Source organism: Homo sapiens, chromosome 2 (genome assembly GCF_000001405.40).
Source record: "Homo sapiens chromosome 2, GRCh38.p14 Primary Assembly".
In the NCBI taxonomy this organism is placed as follows: domain Eukaryota; kingdom Metazoa; phylum Chordata; class Mammalia; order Primates; family Hominidae; genus Homo; species Homo sapiens.
Genome location: NC_000002.12, coordinates 172,805,620 through 172,825,869, shown reverse-complemented (window position 1 = coordinate 172,825,869; position 20,250 = coordinate 172,805,620). Strand labels below are relative to the sequence as shown.

The following is a 20,250-nucleotide window of genomic DNA, read 5'->3' as shown; positions in this document are numbered from 1 at the left end:
ACACCATTGGGTAAAACACATTATTACTTACATCATGTTATTTTCCAAATCCACTATAAATGAAGGTAAGATAATATCTTTATAAAACTAATTTTAATTTTTTTAATCATGAATATAGCCAGGTTTATGGTGGATTTAATGAATTTAAAAGGTATGTACTTTAAATATTATGAAACATGAAAAGTAAACAGATCAAGATTAAATATTTGCAGAAATTCTAAGAGGGTTAATGTCTCAATCATATAAAGCATTCACATAAATTGGTAAATAAATGCCAATGTATTTAACTCATATGAATAACATGTCCCAAAAGAGGATATGTTACATTGGGTATTTATAATCAGTAAAAAAAAGAGATAATAAAACCTCAAGCATCCCAGTAATCACAGAAACACAATTGCAATAGCAATGCCTGTTATATTGGACACACATAGAGCCAGTCACTAACTTATGATGGGTCAACTTAGAATTGTTCAAATTTACAATGGTGCAAAAGCAATAAGCATTCAGTAGAAACTATACTTCAAGTAGCCATACAACCATTCTGGTTTTCACTTTTAGTACAGTATTCAATGAATTATATGAGATATTCAACACTTTATTATAAAATAGGCTTTGTGTTAGATGATTTGGCCAACTGTAGGCTAATGTAAGTGTTCTGAGCACATTTAAGGTGGGATAGGCTAAGCTATGGTGTTCAGTAGCTTAGGTGTATTAAATGCATTACTGACATGGTATTTTCAACTTACAATGGGTTTATCTAGGTGCATCCCCATCATAAGTCGAGGAGCATCTGTATATATAATGGTCACGATGGCCAAGGCCAGAAGCAATAGGCATGCTCAAATACTGTTGGTGGCAGAATAAAAGCTACTGAAAATAAATGTGATCATATTTATCAAGAGTCATAAGTTTTCACATTCTTCAAACTAGTGATTCTTTTCCTGGGAATTTATTGTAGGTAAGTAATTCTTACAGTATAGTCTGGGGATAGTTGAGAGCCTCCCACGATTCCTAGGGGATCCAAGAATTCAGAACTTCATTCACAGTAACAGTAAAATTATTACCTGTCTTCTTTACTCGCATTCTCTCATAGGCATACAGTGAAATTTCCCAGGAGCTACAAATTGTGAAAGACACCATTGCTCAGACTGTTAAGAGAAGGTGCATTTGTGGGATGGTGGAATTTGGGGATGATCTTGCACCTTATTCTCACTCTTCCAATAACCATTCCACATAGGCAACCTCTAAATCATACAGCCTTGAACAAACCCCACAGATTCTGACTCTAAAGTACTGACTGCCATTATTACATAAATCTGCTAGAAACTCTAACTTGGAAGTAGAATGTCTATAGAAGAGAAGGACAAACTACACTAGGAAATTCAACACAGACTTGTAAGGAACAAACATTATTCAATCATAGCATCTCAGCACAGGGCAAGGACACCAGCCAGGTGTATGCAGAAGTAAGCACAAAGGGGAATGGTGAATTACCAAAACCCACTGCTGAAGGGGTTCTCAGCCCTGGCTGTCCAGAGACTCATCTGAGGAGCTTTCAGAAGCTACTGATGAAGCTCTATCTTCTAGAGATTTTGGCTTCATCAGTCTATCAAAAGTCCCGGCATGGAAATCTTTTAAAAAGCTTCCCAGATACTTCTAACGTGAAACCAGTTTTAAGAACTACAACTACAAATGATGAAAGTTACCAAAAAGTTCTTCTTCCCTTCCAAATAATATATTTTGATACAATATGAACTACTGCCCTATATTTTATTCTTTCCATTCACAGAATTTGTGGCTCTCCCTTCTTTAATTTGCAAACCAAAAAGGGAGGGGGACACTAGATTTTTTAACTCATAAGGCACATAAGAATCAATCAACATTAACTGTGACCACTCCTGTCAGCAAGGCAGGATTTAAGTAAAGGTATCTCTATTTTACAATAAGTGGCCTAGGAAGCTGGAGAGCTTTGCAAAATGTCATCCAGCAAAGTTGGGTTAAACCAAGAATAGACCAGAATCTCAGGCCAGACCATTCAACCACATCAACAACCTTTGGAAGATTTGTCTTGCATTTATTGGTTTGGGCTAGACAGCTCAAAACATTGAGGTCAGTGAGATCAAACAGGGGCAAGACTGCAGGAATTTGGAGAAGCGAACTTAGTGACAGGATTTCTGCTGCTTCATCCTGTGTGTCAGACCCTCTGCCCCAGTAACTGTGCCCTAACCTCTCACAGCAGCCCAGAGACGACTCAGGAGTGGAATTTGGCCCCACGAGAGCAGGAAAGTCCCATGACCACAGGGCTTTCTACACATAAAGCGCTTAACAGTATCCCCCAGTCCTCACCACGAGTTCCTTCTGAAAGTCTCAAGTTCTTAAAGCTTTCCCAACTAGAACTGCCTTTGCCTGGGGGAACCCGTTAAACCCCAGAGCGGATTTCTCCAGATGATGGCTGAACAACAAAAAACAAACCCAGACATTTGGAATCACAACACATGACAGGCTGAGTTCTCACCATGCCTGCCCAGGGGCCCAGCAAAGGAGAAGAACCCAGAGTGCCACACAACACAACCACAGAGTGAAGAAGCCCAGCCCCTTTTCTGTGGACTCAGTCCCTCGGAACAAGGCTGCCTCAAATGCTATCATTTGGTTAACTGTCCCCAATCCTTTAGGGATGCTGAAAAACAGCCTTGCTACCCACATAAGAATTCAGAAGCAGATCTCTTTGTCCTTGGATGAAACGAGGCCCTTGGTGGAAACGGATCTCTTCTTGCTCTGCCCCTGTCCTTTAGCACGCTGGATCTTTCTTAGAGTATTTTTTCAGTTTGTCTCATATTTGTGTCTATGATTGTCTTTTCCACTAGATTGTAAACCACAGAAAAGCAGACAGAGGGCATTTTGCACCTCCACCTGGTGGGAAACAAGTATGTTTGCTGAATGTGACAGAAGCTTCTTAGAGATGAAATGTTTAACGTGGCATCAATTCTGTTGAGGTGAGCAGCTATTGAGAAGGGCAGGCTGCTCAGTAGCTTAGCTGAGTGGGTGAGGAGACCCAGTGTAAGAGAACAGTGCAGGGGAGAGAGTGGGGGTGAGGTGTCAACAGAGTCCTGGCTAGTGCACGGCCAAGGGAAGCATTTCGGAAACTAGTTTAACAGCAGCTCCTCAAAGACCTGAGTATTCACTCTACACTCCCGAAATGAACACCCAAAGTAGCGCCAGCTCAGAGAAAGCAACTACTGGTTATAGTACCCTACCGGCAGGCCCACCATACAGCATCTGGGCATTCCTGGCATTTGCCAGCCAAGCCTTGATCTGCTCAGACCCCTGATCATCTTCTGAGAAACACTGAAATCACTGCTTGGGGAGCAGGTAGAACTCTTAGTTATCAATAATGTAACAGAATGCCTATAAACAGCAAGGACTTCATTGAGTCTGAGAGCTACAGGCAAAATACCTTCCAGGGGCCTGGAGGGTGAAATACCATCACCCACAATCTGTTTCCTTGAACAAAATTCATTTTTAATATGTGACATTCAAATATGTCACTAGAAAAATACATGTATGTAATTTCACTGTGATAAATGTTACTCTGCCTAGTTATGAACAACTACTTTTATTTATCTTCTAGAAACATATTTAAGATCATCAGGCTAAATAAACATGCTTCACTAGCAGAAAGATGAGCCACCACTCACCCCCTGGCCCCACACACACCACAAACAAAGATGAAATCAAATTATGTCCCTGCCATGGTACATATTTGGGTCTGGTGGAACATAATTAGAAAAGCCAGAGATGTTTTTGAGCATAATTCCAAAATGCAAACAGTAACATGTAGTATTTCCCCACTCTCCCACCCTTCACTAAAAAATAAAAAGATTCATTCTGACCTTGTAGAGCATACGTCCTTCTTTTTCGGTCTCTCAAAGTTCTCAGACATCCAGTGAGCATCTATCCTTTATTTGATCAGCAAAATGTACCTTCATTGCCGTTCATTCCCTGTTCGTGTCTACTACTGAGTGGCTCTCAGTCCACAGAAAGGAAACTGGTGCTGATGGTTCTCCAGGAAAGCTCAGGCAGTCTAAGGCAATAAGAAAACACTTCCTTTTTTTTTTTTTTTTTTTTTTTTAACTTTAGTTAGCTCCTAATAACTTCACTCCCTTCCTTTCTGGATTTGAATCATTTTGCCACTCCATGGAAAAGCTTGAAGACACAGGAATGAGACCCTGGTGCAGACATAAGTCCAAGTCATCGAAGCAGGCTTCCGCTTGGTTTAAAAGAATCAGAACTGTGAGGAGAGAGACAAGAGAACCAGCCAACAGGATGTGTGTGGCTGGAGTTCCTGGCATGAAGTCTTGGCTTTCATGTTTATTTTTGGATATATTTTTCTTAGTCCTTTGATGCAAATTTCTGGCCTGAGAAGTAACCCTACAGTACAAGCTCCAAGGTTGCCAAAAGTAAGCTCGGGCTCCTGACTTGGGAGAATGCAGGCCCCTTGGCTTGGAGGCTCTGGTTGCTCCTGATGAGGGTATGGGTCTCGGTCCCCGTGCATTATCAGGCAGGCAAGGGGCTGCCTTGTCTGCAGGTGGGCCGGGCATTCCTAACTCAATACCCAAGCCCATTAAATATAAACCTGAAAAGCCTACCATTAATGCAAAAGTGAAACAACCTGAAATTGTTAGTATGGTGGATAAAGCCATACAATTTACCTGAGAACTTCTGGGATATCTGTGTTCTGAGATATTAATTTTTAAGTATTTGGCTTTCATTTTTCTGACAGCTACAGACAGATAGAAACATCAAGCCTATTAGAGCAAGATCAGATGCCTCTGGAAGGTATATTATTCTAACAGTGTTTTTAAAGCACCTCAGCAAAGACTAAGCTGCTGTTGCTTCAAACAATCCTTATTCTCACTGTGGCTTGAAAGATTTTAATGGAAAAGGGATTTTCCCCTATTTACTCTAAAAAAAAGTCAGTAAATGGAAGTAACTAAAAAGCTTTCCAGTTTCACAACCGCCAACATATCTGGTAGAATCTTATAGAAAAATAAACATTCTGAAAATTAGGGAATAGAGACAGTCATAAACATATTTCTTCAACAGCATTCATTATTCTGATTAATATCTCTATTTACTAATTACTTTCTTTTCTTAAGACAGAAACGTGCACTTTCTTATTTTTACCACTCAGTTTTGTATCTCATAAAGCATGAAATACATTTTCAGTCAGTTAACAATGTTTACTGAGGCCACAGACACATTTGAGCAGTGAATCTAATGTGCCAATCATTATATCCAAGCAACGGCTCTCCATGACACGTTTTGCCCTGGTTGGAATAAAATCACAATAGCATGTCAAGAGGCTCCCAGATAACAATCACAGCTAAGAAACCACTTTTATAGTGACACAGGTCAGACTACAAATTGAAAACATTGCTTTTATTTTTAATGGCTCTGTAATTTTATTATTGTCTTTAATTTTTTAAGAACATATTCATAAATATGTGTTATTATTTTGAATATGCTCAAACATGGCTCATGGCAACAGGGAAATTTTTCCAGAATGGTGTTCATGCAATTGAACTACAGGTAAAGAGGTGGTAACCACTAGTTCAAGGGCCTCTCAGAAGCATCTTTCATGGATTTAACCAAGAGCACCTCTCTAATCTACTTTCCTGAATACAGTGGACTCATCACCTCATTCAATTTCATGTATTTGAAATATTCCATGTAAAGATGTCAAAACATGCCACAAACCTGAAATCATCCTCATACAAACACAACATCAGACAGAAAGTCAAGAAGAAAACCCAACAAAACCTTCACTGTTTTGTTCTAGCCATTGGAAACCCTCTTATACTATCTGTGCTGAGCAGAAATTCATGGACTTGGATAATAGATCAGTTTTTATTTATTCCAAGAGCTACTATCAATCATAAAATACCCATAATCTTAGATCAACTATTAATATAATAACTGCTTTAAACTCCCAAACTTACAGTTAACTGCTTTGCCATTTAACTTCCTTACTGAGGGTAGAAAATGCCACTAGTGTCAAAGAGTTTAAATTGTAAATTATAATTGTCTCAAGAACTAAAAATGGGCCGGGCGCGGTGGTTCACGCCTGTAATCCCAGCACTTTGGGAGGCCGAGGCGGGCGGATCACGAGGTCAGGAGATCGAGACCATCCTGGCTAAAACGGTGAAACCCCGTCTCTACTAAAAATACAAAAAATTAGCCGGGCGTAGTGGCGGGCGCCTGTAGTCCCAGCTACTTGGGAGGCTGAGGCAGGAGAATGGCGTGAACCCGGGAGGCGGAGCTTGCAGTGAGCCGAGATCGCGCCACTGCACTCCAGCCTGGGCGACAGAGCGAGACTCCGTCTCAAAAAAAAAAAAAAAAAAAAAAGAACTAAAAATGGTATTCTAAGACTTTTAAATTCATTTTCTTCTGTATGTAATTCAGAAACATACTGTCTCCAATATTTATCTCTCCCCATCTCTGCCTCCCTCCTGAAATGTTACTGGAAAATGAGATGTTTTATACCCTGGTTAATATTTTTTATTAAGTTCTAATATTAAAGGGGTGTAAATGGAGAGAGGCATTATTTACCAACTCTGAACAAACTTAACATAATTCATTTAAACTAAGAAAATAAGACCTGACTTTAAGATAGAGCAACCCAGTACCCTCAGATCTGACCAAAATTGGAAATTGAAATAGGGAAAAGGAGAAGGAAACCAGGTCATTTTCATTAGGAAAGATGTAGGGTACAAAAGAAAAAAAAGTGCCAAGCTGCCACCTCAGTTATATCTTAGGGAATATTTATTTTATTTGATATATTTATAGAGACTATTGAGGAAATGCTTCTAATCACATTCATGATGATGATTTTTAAAAAATACTCTGAGTGTTGCCTATATGACTTACAGCAGAATAGACAATATAAAGCAAGAGGTATTGGGGATAGAATTAAATAGGATTTCAAAACCTTACGTGTGGTTCTCTGAGGGCATACCTGAGGAAGCCTAGAAAACTTGCTGTTGACCTGGAAAAGAAAAGGAATTCCCTAGCTTTGTGCTACCATTACAGTCCCAAGTGTAAGATATAGAGTATTTGCTCAGCCTATTAAAGGACTACTTTTTGACTGTGCTACCTGTTAGTGATTAGGGACCATAATTTTCCCTTAGAAGCAACACAGAATCCTGATGGGAGTGTTCTAGCCTGCAGCTCCTGTAAGTGACAGTAAGAGTACCTACAAGGAGACAAAGCCCAACATAAGAGCGCCTGCCATGAAATGAGCCCACCAGGACATTCCTCAAAAGTAAACACTCAAATGAGATGAACATGCAAATTTAGACCCAGGGTCTCTGATTCAGGGTCTCTAATTTTTACTATTTGGAACCTGTCACCGAACATTGAACTCTGAGCACCTTAGCTCCCTGATGGTGGAGGCCTTATCCAGTTGACCTTGCTGCTGCTTTCTTTTTATATTTGCATGATATATATTTTAGTGTTTTTTCTCTTTTTTAAAATTCCAATAGGTTTTTGGGGAATGGGTGGCATTTGGTTACATGAATAAGTTTTTTAGTGGTGACTTCTGAGATTTTCGTGCATCCATCACCTGAGTAGTGTACTCTGTACCCAATGGTAGTCTTTTATCCTTCACCCCTCTCTCCCCTTTCCCCCAAGTCCCCAAAGTCCATTGTGTCATTCTTACGCCTTTGCATCCTCATAGCTTAGCTCGCACGTATGAGTGAGAACATATGATGTTTGGTTTTCTATTCCTGAGTTACTTCACTTAGGATAATGGTCTCCAATTCCACCCAGATTGCCGTGAATGCCATGATTTTGTTCCTTTTTATGGCTGAGTAGTATTCCATGGTGTGTGTGTATATATATATATATAATTCATATAATATACATTATATATATAATTGTAATATGTATATTATATATATATATAATTGTGATATATATATATATATATATATCACAATTTCTTTATCCACTCATTGAATGATGGGCATTTGAGTTGGTTCCATATTTTTGCAATCATGAATTGTGCTGCTATAAACATGCATGTGCAAGTATCTTTTTTGTATAATGACTTATTTTCATCTGGGTAGATACCCAGAGTTGGCATTGCTGGATCAAATGGTAGTTCTATTTTTGTTCATTAAGGAATCTCCACACTGTTTTCCATAGTGGTTGCACTAGTTTACATTCCCACCATCTGATGCCTTCTTTCTGCACTCTTACTGTTCAGTGATGATTCAGGAGTTGGCCTGAATCCTGAATACATAATTGTTCCCCGTATAGTTCTTCCCTTTTGATATTTGGGTGATCTAGCTGACTTAGGCTTCAGCTGACAGTATGAGCTTGGGTTTAAATTTTACTAACAGATATCAGCACAAGATGGATTTTACCAGAACAAGGATGGATTAATTTTACTAAACCTATTATCTGACATATCAAGGAATAGGCGTTCTGGTTATCAAATATTTTGCAAGCAGATTAGCGCTATATATGCCATGTATAGATCATCAACATTCAAATCATGCACCTAAAGTTATTTAATGATATATTATGCTCTGAGATTCTATGATTTTTATTTTCTGTCTCCTCTGAGCGGAATAGAAGCCCCTAGCCTGAGAGCAGAAGCATATATATTTGTATATATGTATAAACATACGAACATCTGACTATATCCACATACATACATATACATATACCTAACACATAGGAGATACTCTGTATATTATGAATAAATGAATAGACAATAAACAGAATTCAATCTTTTTTATTCAGAAGGTACTTTAGAATTGTGTAACTTTTTAGGATTATCATGTACTGCATGTGCACAAGTGTGCCCATTAATGAAGTCCTGATTAACAGATTGCTAGATAATGGGGTTTATTGCATTTTCAGTTTAGACAATTAAAACATTGATTGAGCATCTAATTCACACTCTACACTTAGTTGCATGAACAGGCAAATATAATGAAACATCTGACTATCTCTTACTCACTATGAGATTTCAGTCCCCACCCTGTAAAAGAGGTCAGACTAAAAACTATCCACTCCTGTCAATTCCAAATGGCTCTCTGAATGTCGTCCCCAGTACACTTATGCCACTGGCAAGGGAGATCACAAATCATGCTCTGAGGTTACAGGGGAAGAGTTGGACCCACTGAACTGCAAAACATGTGACAAGGTTTTAGATAGCAAGGACAGCCCTCCATATCAATGTCCCTATTAAATATTTTTCCTCTAAGGGAAAGAACTGTGGAAAACAGTCCTAAAAGGTACTCTGATACAACCTAACCAAGGGATCAAACGTAGCATCAACAGAGCAATATCCTCAGCATCACTTTTCACATTTTCTTGCCAAAAATGTTTGGCTTGATCTAATCAAACCTTTAGCCTAATTTCCATTTATAGGAAACCTTGGGATAGAAGTGCAAAAAAAGATACCATGAAAAAAACAATCAGACAAATCTTGAATTTGGGAGAAATTGACCTGGCCTTTTTAACAAGTCAATGCCATGATGGGGCAGGGGGAAAGTAAGAGAGAGAAGGGGGAGAGAGGGAGAGAGGAGAGAGAGAGAGAGAGACTTAGATATAACAATCAAATGTAAGACATGGCTCGTTATTGGAGCCTGGTTTGAAACAAAGCTATAAAAGGTATTTATGAGACAATTAAGGACATTTGAAATATAGACTGGGTATTAGATAATATTAGGATATTATTGTTTTATAGGTGAGATAATGGCATTAGGGTATGTAACAGGATATTCTAAGTTTTTTGAGATATATGCTGAATATTTAGGGTGATATGTTATATGTCTATCATTTACGATAAAGTAGTTCACCAAAAAAAACAAACAAAGCTGAAGCAAGTATGGCTCTACATTAACAATTTCTGAGTTCAGTGGGGGTGAATGGGTGTTCATTGTACTATACTTTTTGATTTTTCTGTCTATTTGAAATTTTTTTAAATAATAAGTTTGTTTTAATGTTCACAGGTAGCAACCACTTAGAAACTTCCTTCTCAGCACTAAGGGCTCCTAATTAAAATAAATCTTTAAAATATTTCCACAAACCATCCTCTCTCAGCAATTTGAGTAAGTCATCAGAGACAAAAGTGGTTATAATGACACACATCACAGTTAGAAATCATTTTTGTTCTGAAAACCAGTTTTCCAAACTCCCCTTTTGAAAAAGACTTTTCAGTTTACCTTTTAAAATGAAAGATCCAAAAAGTGGCTTATTTGCCTCAAGCTTGGTCCCTTTTAATTGACAGAAAATCTCTCCACATACACCTCATGCAAACCTACTTTCAATTTTCCTTCCTAAAACTAGCTTTTGTCTCTGAACTTTACAGAACGGTTGGAGCTCTTTAATACTTTCTAAGAGAAATATTTCAAACAAGTAACCTCACAATTTATTCACTACTGCCAAGAATAAAAGTAACAGGTTTCACCACCAAGGCCTTCCAAGGCTTTGCATGACTTTTAAGGCAAAGCATCACTCATTCACCTGCAGGTTGGCTCCCTTAATGCATCTGCCATTTGTTTGGCTCTGGAGGAAACTATTTGATTACACAAAATTCTTTTTAGATCAAGTTTAAAATCTTAGCCACACTGGGACCAGTGGCGAAGCCTGCAGCCTGATGGTTTAACACTTGGACATACTGAGCTAAGGACAAAGACAAGGAGCAGGTTAAAATCAGAGGCTTAAAGAACTGAAAAGAACGAGTGTAAAAGATGCAAGGCTTAGCTGGGCCTTTATAAGTGCTCTATTTGCCATGACTGCATGTAAGATGATTTATTCCTCATACTTGTTGTAAATGAGTGCAATACTTTAAGGGGCTCTGGTAAGCATTGATAAATGCAAAAGCCACTAGGACCAGTTGCATCCATTCACTGCTGTGCCACCTATGCATTTTGAAGTTGGCAAGTAACCAGACATCTTTATGTACCTCCATTTCTCATATCTTATTATAGGGCGCATCATTTTTAAAAGCACTTAAATGAAGCAGATGTTAACCCCATTCATTCCACTTTCCCAGGGAACATGTCAATGATGATTTTTAAAATGCAAAAGAAAATGTCAAAGTATTTTGTTCCCTGGTTAAGAATACATCTGTGGAAAAGAAGGGAGAAAATACATAAAACACTCTATGGTCATTCAAGAAATAATTATAAGGTATGTCAAACTACAGAAAATTGAGCAAGCACTAAATTAAACAAAAAAAAGGATGTCTTGTGTCAAAATGGCTTTTTCACTCACTCATTTCAAAAACAAGTTTTGAAAATTAAATTCCATCTACCAGCTCAGAACAGAACACATTAAGGCTTGACTGTAATGCCATTATCCATGTGGCAGCTCCCTTTCTTTTCTGAAACTGCATTAATTGACAAAGAAGCCTTAGGGCTCACCTCCCATAGTGCCTTGAAGTCCTTCTGCTCGATGCGGAGCAGTTCACTGCTCTCCCTGGTAACGATGGTTGCATGGCGGGGTGTGTTGTCCAGAATGGACTCTCCAAAGGCCGTCCCAATTCCCAGGGTACAGATGGTCACAGCATCCTGAGGATCCCAAAAAACTAGTCATTAGAAAATTAAACATCTAATGGGTAGGTGTTTTCTTTTCTTTAACTGCAGTATAATTTGTACAAGGCAAAACACCCAATTTAATTGCATAGTTCAACAAGTCTTGACAAATATATATACCGGAGTAATTACCAACCAGATCAAGACAGAACATTTCTATGAACCCCAAAAGTCCCCTCGTGCCCCTTTCCAGGCAAGACACTCAGATAACTTGTTCTGATTTCCGTCATGAAAGAATTTTGCCTGTTTTAGAACTTCATGTAAAAGAAGTCAGACGATATTCTCCGGTTTGTGCCTAGCTTCTTTTTTGCTCAACATAATGTCTGTAAGATTCATCCATGTTGTTGCATGGATCCAAAGATTCTTCCTTTTATTCATGAGTAGTTTCCCATAACATGGGTGTGCTTCAATTTGCTTATCATCCTCCTGCTGGTGGACATTTGGGTTGTTTCTACTTTGAGGATATTATGAATAAAGCTGCCAGCAGGAATCTTACCTTTTTATACAACTACTATCTGTTTTCAGAAAAGAGGAGAAATCTATCGAAGCTGAGCTCAGTTTTTTTTTTTTAAGTTAGAGAGTGCAGTTACAATATTTAAATAAGAAACTGGCACTGTCTGTCTTGACAAGATGAGGAAACTGAGGGTCAGAGTGGTGGATCTACACAGCCCCAGTTCACACAGTTGATAAGCAGTGTGGCCAGATTCTAACCAAATCTGACTATAAGTTTACAAGATTTTTGTATCATGCTGCCTCCTGCAGCCACAACAGAGTAAAAACAGCATCCGATGAAGTACGGTGTGACTAGCTTATAAAATGTCATGAATCGATGATTTAAAAGTTTCTTAAGGTGTACCAAAAAAAGTAATTTCCTCTCTGCATGCAACACTGGTGATAATGTTTGGATTTAATCCTAACTAGTTTCAAATAATGCAAATAGCCACTCAAAATCACCTGGACATTAATTTTGTAAGGCATTATAAACTAAGGGAGACACACAAGGGTAATCCTCTGAGTTAGAAAGCCCAGTTTTCCTTTCATGCATCTAATATACGATAATAGGCAAATGTTATTAAGATCAAGTTAGTGACTCTGTAATCACATTACTAAGACAAATGCCCATAAGAATCCAGTTCCTTCAACCATAGCAAATTGCTTCTGCACAGATATTACCATATAAAATTATGTTAGGGAAAATAAAATCAATATCTCAGAAAAGAATAAAAGATCAGGGAAGAAGTGAAGAAAAGCCTGCTAATAAATTTTGCAGAAAGGCAACTGCAAACAAATTCACTCAAAAATATCCCCAGAACTGAAATATCAATAGTCAATGAGTTAGGTCTCTCTGAGCAATTTTTAAATGCTAGTAAAAACACAAGATAGATTATGATAAATCACAGACTTTCACAATTCTCTGGAATAGCAGGTTCCCTGAAGTTCCCACTAGCCTATTTCATTTTTCTATCACCTGAACCCTTCGGAAAGAATTCTTTTGCCTAATTTTTACTTTCCAGCATGTCTTAAAAACCTGAAATGGACCCTAAGTAATACCACTGACATCATCCACATATTTTACATATATATGGTTATTTGCGAAGTATAATGCAAAAGAACTAGGATGCTCTCAGTTATTCCTGAGCTAGCTGTACAGTTTATGGATTAATCAGTCTTCTTTATCACCTCCCATCCCTGACACGAGTAGTTTGTCACCAAACAGTACACAAGGAAATACAGAGGCTGGGAGACACACGTGAGCCTGTCTTTCGCCAATAATCAACTCTTGTAATAAAGACACAAGATTGGATTTCTTCTTGGATTTTCCCAGGAGATTTCAACCTGACTCATGCCTTTATCACATACAACAAAATTTCATCACGGTAGTGCTGCCGACTGTACTCCTTGGTGTATTTCTGTGTCAGGACCACCTCTGTAAGGGGAAAACCATGCCAGTGAGTACCCAGCTGCAGTCATCAGCTCAAGCACCCTGGGCTTGTTTCAGGAATCAATTCTTCTACCAGAATTAAGTATGGGATCAGTCCTTTCCAGATCTTCTCTTTCACACTGCGTCCACTCAAATTTAAGGACAAGGAGTCACAAATTACAAGATATGATCTTAAAAGTAGGACTGGAAAACCTCACCTGAAAGGAGTATGGTTTGCAAGTTCAAACTTTCAGCAGATTCAGAGTATTTTTTAGGACAAATATACTTAGAAATCTGAATGAATTTGGGAGGTATGGTTGGGCATTGGGATAATTGGGCACAGAGAAATAGAAGGTGCCAAGAAGAACATTTTCACCCTGAAGACTATTCACTATCTTTACAGTCTATGGGTGCTAGCCCTTATTTACATTTAAATCACAGGCAGGGCCTTGCAATGTGCTGCGAGAGTAATTTTCAAATAAAGAAATTGACATCCAAATGTTCTCTCACTTAGCAGAACTAATATATGTTGCTCAGCACGTATGATGAAAGGTAGATTAAGAATGGACAGGATGAATATGAGTGGATGTAGAAGAAGCACTCTTAGATATCCACACTAACATCTAACCAGATCTCCATGGGTCAGGATTCCAAGTCTGAAACCCTGTAGATGGGCTTAATGCCTGCCTTCGCCTGCTGCTGAAAGTGTCTGTTTCTGGATGTAACATAACCGTTTCTTTTACGCTTATACATACTGCTCATGCCTCAATACTTATTTAATAGGGACTATTCAAAAGAGCACTTTTATTAATTTTCTGCTCATTTGCAGATTAATATTCAGCGAGGCCATCTGAAAGAAGATGTTTACAGTAACACAGAGACTGATGAAAGCAATCAGCACCTATGCAGGGAACATGAAATGGTAACAGTGAAGGAATGTCCTATTTTGTGATAAGATTGCACTTTGTTTTGAGAACTTTCAAAAGGGAAGTAAAGATTTAAAAACCCGACTTCAATATGTGATGGTGGTTTAGCAGATGCTGCTGGAGCCCTGCCAGATTCTGCACTCACCCCTGATGTCATCTGTAGCTTTCTGGATGGCTCTGTGCAGTGTGCCACCTCGAGCATCTGCACCCTTGCTCTGCCTGAGGGCAGAGTGCTAGGCAGTTAATGCCTTAAAGGGGCAACCATTGCCATGACAGTGGTAGGACATGAGAGTGGGAAGATAAACACCCCAGCTTCCTTGCCCTTCACAGTTTCTTAGCAGGCCCCCTGAAGGAGTGAGTCCAGTTGCCTACAGTGGAAATGCTCTTACTAGAACACTTTGATAGGCTTTCCTTCCTTCTTTGTCTAATTTTCCCATTCTGTTATCATATTTCCCAAGATCATCTCTAAAAAACCACTTGTAGCCAAATCCTTTTCTCCAGGTCTGCTTCTGGGGAAACCGAAAACAAGGAGGTGGGTGAGCCAAGATGGCCGTGGGTCCTAAATTGCACTGAGACCTCTGGGGAGGTACTGGACCAAACCAGCATTCCCAAAGAGACTTCTGTAATAAGGACAGAGGCCAGAGTGTCACTTACCACTTGCATCAGACACACTGTAAGGGCAGTATGTTTTGGGTGACACATGGGAAGACTTCATTCTGTTAGGAAAACATACTGGGTTACCTGAGATCAATTCTGCTAGATAACAAGGGCTGATGGGAACACACACACAAAATCGCCTCTGGCATATCACCGACACGCCATCTGGCTTTTTCCTCCAATCTGATCCAGCTATCTCATTTCTCAGTCCACTGGATCACTCCTTCTCCTCCTTCTAAAACACAGACCTCCTTACTTAATTATCCACCCATCCTTAGTCCCATTGTGCAGCAGCATGCATGTTGATCTGCATGTGTGTGAGTGGGAACTGGGCCACACACTGGCCAAGTGTCTCAATGACGATGCCTCATTTATTCCTCACAACAGGTGAATGAGATAATGTATTTAAACTGCTTTGCATAGTGCCTGACTCAAAACAAATGCTTAATAAATTGCAGACACTCTTACTAACATGATCCAGCAATATCAGTAGTACTATTGCTATTTTATAGGTTGAGCAAATCAGGCTCAAGGATATTCAGTGACTTGCCCAAGACGATGGCTAGTAAGTAGAAGAGCTGAGATCAGAAACTAGTCAGTCTAATGATCTACCCACATACTTCTTAGATTGTCCTAGTAAGTATAAGTACCTCTTAGCCAAGGTTCAGTTGGAAAATCTGTTAAGGTACCAATTTAATTTATATTGATTCTTATTTCAGTCAGCCAATCTGTGTATTTATTGAATACCAAATAAGTCAAAATCACTAGGAAAATATAAAACATTTGGCATTGCTCCTCTTCTAATCTTCCAATTCCAATATTGAGATCCACTTGATCCTCCTTAGAGGATCAAATCCATCCCAGGCAATCCTCTTATTCATTAGGGGAAATTTAAACAATCACAAACAGGTAATTAAGAATTGAATTGAATCACTCATTCCTGTTATACCAGCACTTGGTGGAGGGGAGGTGAGGGGCTTGCTTGAAGCCAGGAATTTAAGACCAGCCTGGGCAACATAGTGAGACCCCCATCTCTAAAAAATAAATTAAAAATTAGCCAGGCATATTGGTGTTTGCCTATGGTCCCAGCTACTCAAGAGGGTGAGGCAGGAGGATCCCTTAATTCCAGGAGCTCAAAGTTACAGTAGGCTATGATCCCACCATTGCACTCCAGCCTGGGAGTCACAGCAAGACTCTGTCTCTAAAAAAATAAAATAAAATCGGCATTTCTGCTTTTCCCACTCTGATCCTGTGTCCCAGTTCTAATAACTGAGTTCTGACCCTGGTTGGAGAAACTGAGTTTCTGTCTTTCAGAGTCTCTGCCTTGATAACCTGCTGGGTACCCTAATTCTTCTCAAAGTGACAGTATCCTGTCTTGACAGCCCTTCCTGGGTCCCAGTTCCTCTCTGGCAGTCCTTCTGTGGCCAGACTTCTTAGGCAGCCTGCCCACTGCCCATCTCCACCACTGGGCCTGCTTTTGACTCCCTCCCATCAGCAGGCCAAGTCTCATCATGCTACCCCTGGTTAGACCAGCCTTGGCCCCTCCCCACACTAACCTGGGGGCTGTGTCACACCACCTTCCTGCTTCCTCTGCCCCTCCTGCCCAGTGCTGCCTGAACATGCCCTCGAGATATTTCCCACCTCCATCATGGATGCCCCCCAGATTCCAGGTTCTTTTCCTTTACCCAGCCAGGCACCAGCTGAAGTTAAGTCATGAGCACTGTCTTGGCACAGTGTTTTCAGTGGGATATGCAGGGTCCAGTTAACTTCATTCATAAAAGCTGGCATTAGGTAAGTTAATAAAGATGTCGATGAAGCCGCCCATGCTGGAAGGCAGGGCATCAGGCAAAGGACTCCCACGTGGAGGCTACCCATGGTCAGAACACTCAATGCTCAGCAGGGAAAATCCCCTGGAAGCAGCAGAGTGGAAAAGCCACGGGCCTTGGTAGACTTAATTCAAAACTTATCTCTGCCAATGACTGACCTGTGGGCTTTGGGCAAAATGCTCCCCAGAGCCTCAGTATCTTCATTTGTAAAATGGGCACAATCTTACTTGTAATATCATTAGCAGTATTAAATCAAAATAAAGTAATACACAGAGTCCATTATAGTGCTGTATAGTTTCTGGCACATAACAGGTGATCCATAAATAATGGAAATTATTATTTCTGACTTAGTCACAAACATGTATGGGTTATCCATATTTCTAAAAAGCAAAGCAGTTTTTTTCTATCATTTAAATAATAGAGAATCTCTATATTCATTTTGTTAATCTTCAACTAATGATGGCTTTCAACACTTAAATTCCAAGTTTTTCTGTCCCCTAGTCTGGATGTCAAGTGGATTGAATGATCTGCAAAACACTTCAGCTCTCTGGGGGAGCTCGTATTCAAAGGAACCCTTCTGACAAACCGTGCTGTAAATCAAAGAATCCTTTTGTACTGCAACTAATCACCTCTTAATTTATCTGCTTTGTACGTCTGAGTTATGTACACTGGGTTTTCTTAAAGCAGACATTCTCATATGAGGCGTTTTATTTGTTTCATTGTAAATATAGTAAACAGTATGGAAATGGGAATGGTGTTAAGAAAGCCAATGGTTATGTGTCATATAACTAAGACTGGTATTCAAGCTAAGGCACTTGTGCCTTGCAAATAAATAATGTCTATAAGCATCAGCTGAAATCCAACTTACACAAGTTATAGGTATTCTGATGGAATTTAAAATAGCTAACAATCAATTAAACAGACATAAGAATTCTCTGTGGTAAGTACATCTAGATTTTCTAAAAATTGTACTGTAATTTCAAGGGCTATCAGATCATCTTATTATGCACATTTAACTCACTTCCATATTCATGGCTCAAGAAGAGTTCATTGTCTCATGGCAAATTTATTGTTTTGGACATATACTGAGTTAACACCAAGGGAAAAATAATTGCTCCTTTAAATGTGTGGAGACAGAAACATATTTTTTTCTTTCTTAGAGATGAGGTCTTGCTATGTTGCCCAGGCTGGACTGCAGTGGCTATTCACAGGTGTGAACATAAATTCTAACAAGGCAAATATTTTTATAAGTTTTATTTTAGGCCTACAGGCAATATTTGCCATTAAGTTTCACAGCACCTGGGATTATTTCACGAACTTGAATTTAGTGCTGGAATTTACTGGGTGCTCCAAGTCATCTTAAGTAATAAAATTAAATGGAACCCAATCTCTTAATTTGTCAAGATGTTAGATTGTATGTGCTGCAGAAGCATTTCCTGCCAAATCAAGAGGGCAAAATACTTCTCAGGCAAATGTGTTTTCTAACAAACAGCAAAGACAAGGTCTGTTACTTTTAGAACACATCCCTGGAATCAGCATGTTCAATAAAGCTTAACAAGATCAGGCAAGCCGGCCGCAGGAAGGTTTGATGAGAATGGACTAGCATTAGCATTCTGGTAACTGAATCAGGGAGGCCAGCCTCATTTCAGTGGAGAGCCAGTCTGTCCAGCATTGTGACGCAGTTTTGCATCCAACCACCCAAACAAAGAATTACACGGCAAAAAAACTAAATGCAGGATGCAGGATGCTCAATAAACTCCCAATCAGCTCCTAACAAATAGCCTGACCTGAGCATAGACAAGTAGGAGGAGATTACAAACAACTGCTGTGGACTTGGCACCTTTCACGTTTTATGGGCTCAATAAATGTGCTCAGAAAAAAAATGTTTCCAATGATGGCAGTGTTCTCTGTTTGAAAATAACGGAGTGAAATGAGTGAATAGAAGAATCAGAGAGGCAAAGAGAAAGACAGACAAAGGTAGAGAGATCCGCATTACAACGAAACACACATGTTCTTCAAATTTTGTAAACAAAAATGCAATGCTTAAAAACATTTGTTACTGTAGAAGGAAAAAAGAGAAGGCAAATAAAAGCATATTATTTTACTTTAGGGAGAAAACTAGTATGAGATTTTTTTCTGAAATTGAGCTAAAATGTGCCAGATAATTTCACAGTGATAGATGAGGGGATGAAATTAAGTGATGACCAAGGCCAAGTGTAGCCCGGATTCTCTGATCCATGAAATGGCTGAACAACATTGTTAAACTTCTACTGTTTCAAATCCCAAGTACATTTCCTGCGTTTTCTATTCTGGCACTGCCCTCTTGTGATAAAACAACAGCATTGCAGTCATTGCAACCAACTTTTCTTGAAATGGTAATTTCAAAAAGCACAGACCCTCTGCCTCTATCCCAGGCTTTGTACTAAGTGCTTTACATACATCAGCTCATTTAAGATAAGAGCTATTATCCCCAATTTACAAGTAAGCTAACTGTGCATACCCACAGCCAATTAAGTGGCAATAGAATTTCAAAGGAGCTCTGAATTTAACCACCGTGGGTTGCATTGGGTAAATACTAATGCTTTCAATAGGCATCTGTGATAGAGATGTAAAGGTTTTAAAGAATTAATAAACCATCCATTTTCTATCTTGCAATATAAACTTTATTCTGTCAGCAGCCATTTGAAATTCTTCTTTCCTATGACTGGAAAAGCCTTTTTACTTTTTGAGAGGTAAAGATTAATTTAAAATCTTATATATATCTAGGATTTTGATACTTACTATGCCAAAAAAGCCCCTCACTTAAAAAATCTGCAGAGAAAAACAGGACCTTCTCTCTCCCTTTCTCTCTGTCTCTGAAGTAAACACACACACACACACACACACACACACACACACACACACACACAGCCGGATAATATCTGATACAATGAGATTTATAATCCTATTTATTGTTTTTAAGCTTGTTATTTATTGCTTATAACTTGTCCCAATGTTCATCTCTAACCCTAAATCGATTAAAATATTACTGAGAAAAAATACACCCATAGTATTATTCATTCTAGTGGGAAGGCAAAATATCTGACTTTTAGCCCTATGTAACTTTTAAGTTACACAGGCACCAAGACAGGAGAGGATCTTGTGCAGACAAGTACAGCAGTGGGGATCTGGAGGTGGATGTGTCCTGGTTAGGCTCAGGCAAGAGACTGAAGGTGGGGACAGATATTATTGGCGAAATGGAAGGATTAATCCTTGATAGAGGCCAAGTGGATGTTCCCAGTGGAAATCTACGTGAACATGTCAGC

General features: G+C 39.2%; 1 protein-coding gene across 25 annotated transcripts in view; it reads right to left on the bottom strand.

Annotated features, from left to right (window-relative positions):
- RAPGEF4 (Rap guanine nucleotide exchange factor 4) overlaps positions 1-20,250 on the bottom strand; it is a 317,576-nt gene that overhangs the window by 227,024 nt on the left and 70,302 nt on the right. For 21 of the 25 annotated variants that reach the window (NR_164739.1, NR_164740.1, NR_164741.1 and 18 more), the window contains one exon: positions 11,445-11,591. Coding sequence is in view for 20 of the 25 variants with exons in the window: in NM_001375864.1 (NP_001362793.1) it covers positions 11,445-11,591 (147 nt within the window). In the remaining 5 variants the exon portion in view is untranslated. Of the gene's footprint in view, positions 1-3,893; positions 4,046-11,444; positions 11,592-20,250 lie in introns of those variants that run through there. The other 4 variants (NM_001100397.2, XM_017003197.2, XM_047443029.1 and 1 more) reach the window with 1 other exon arrangement.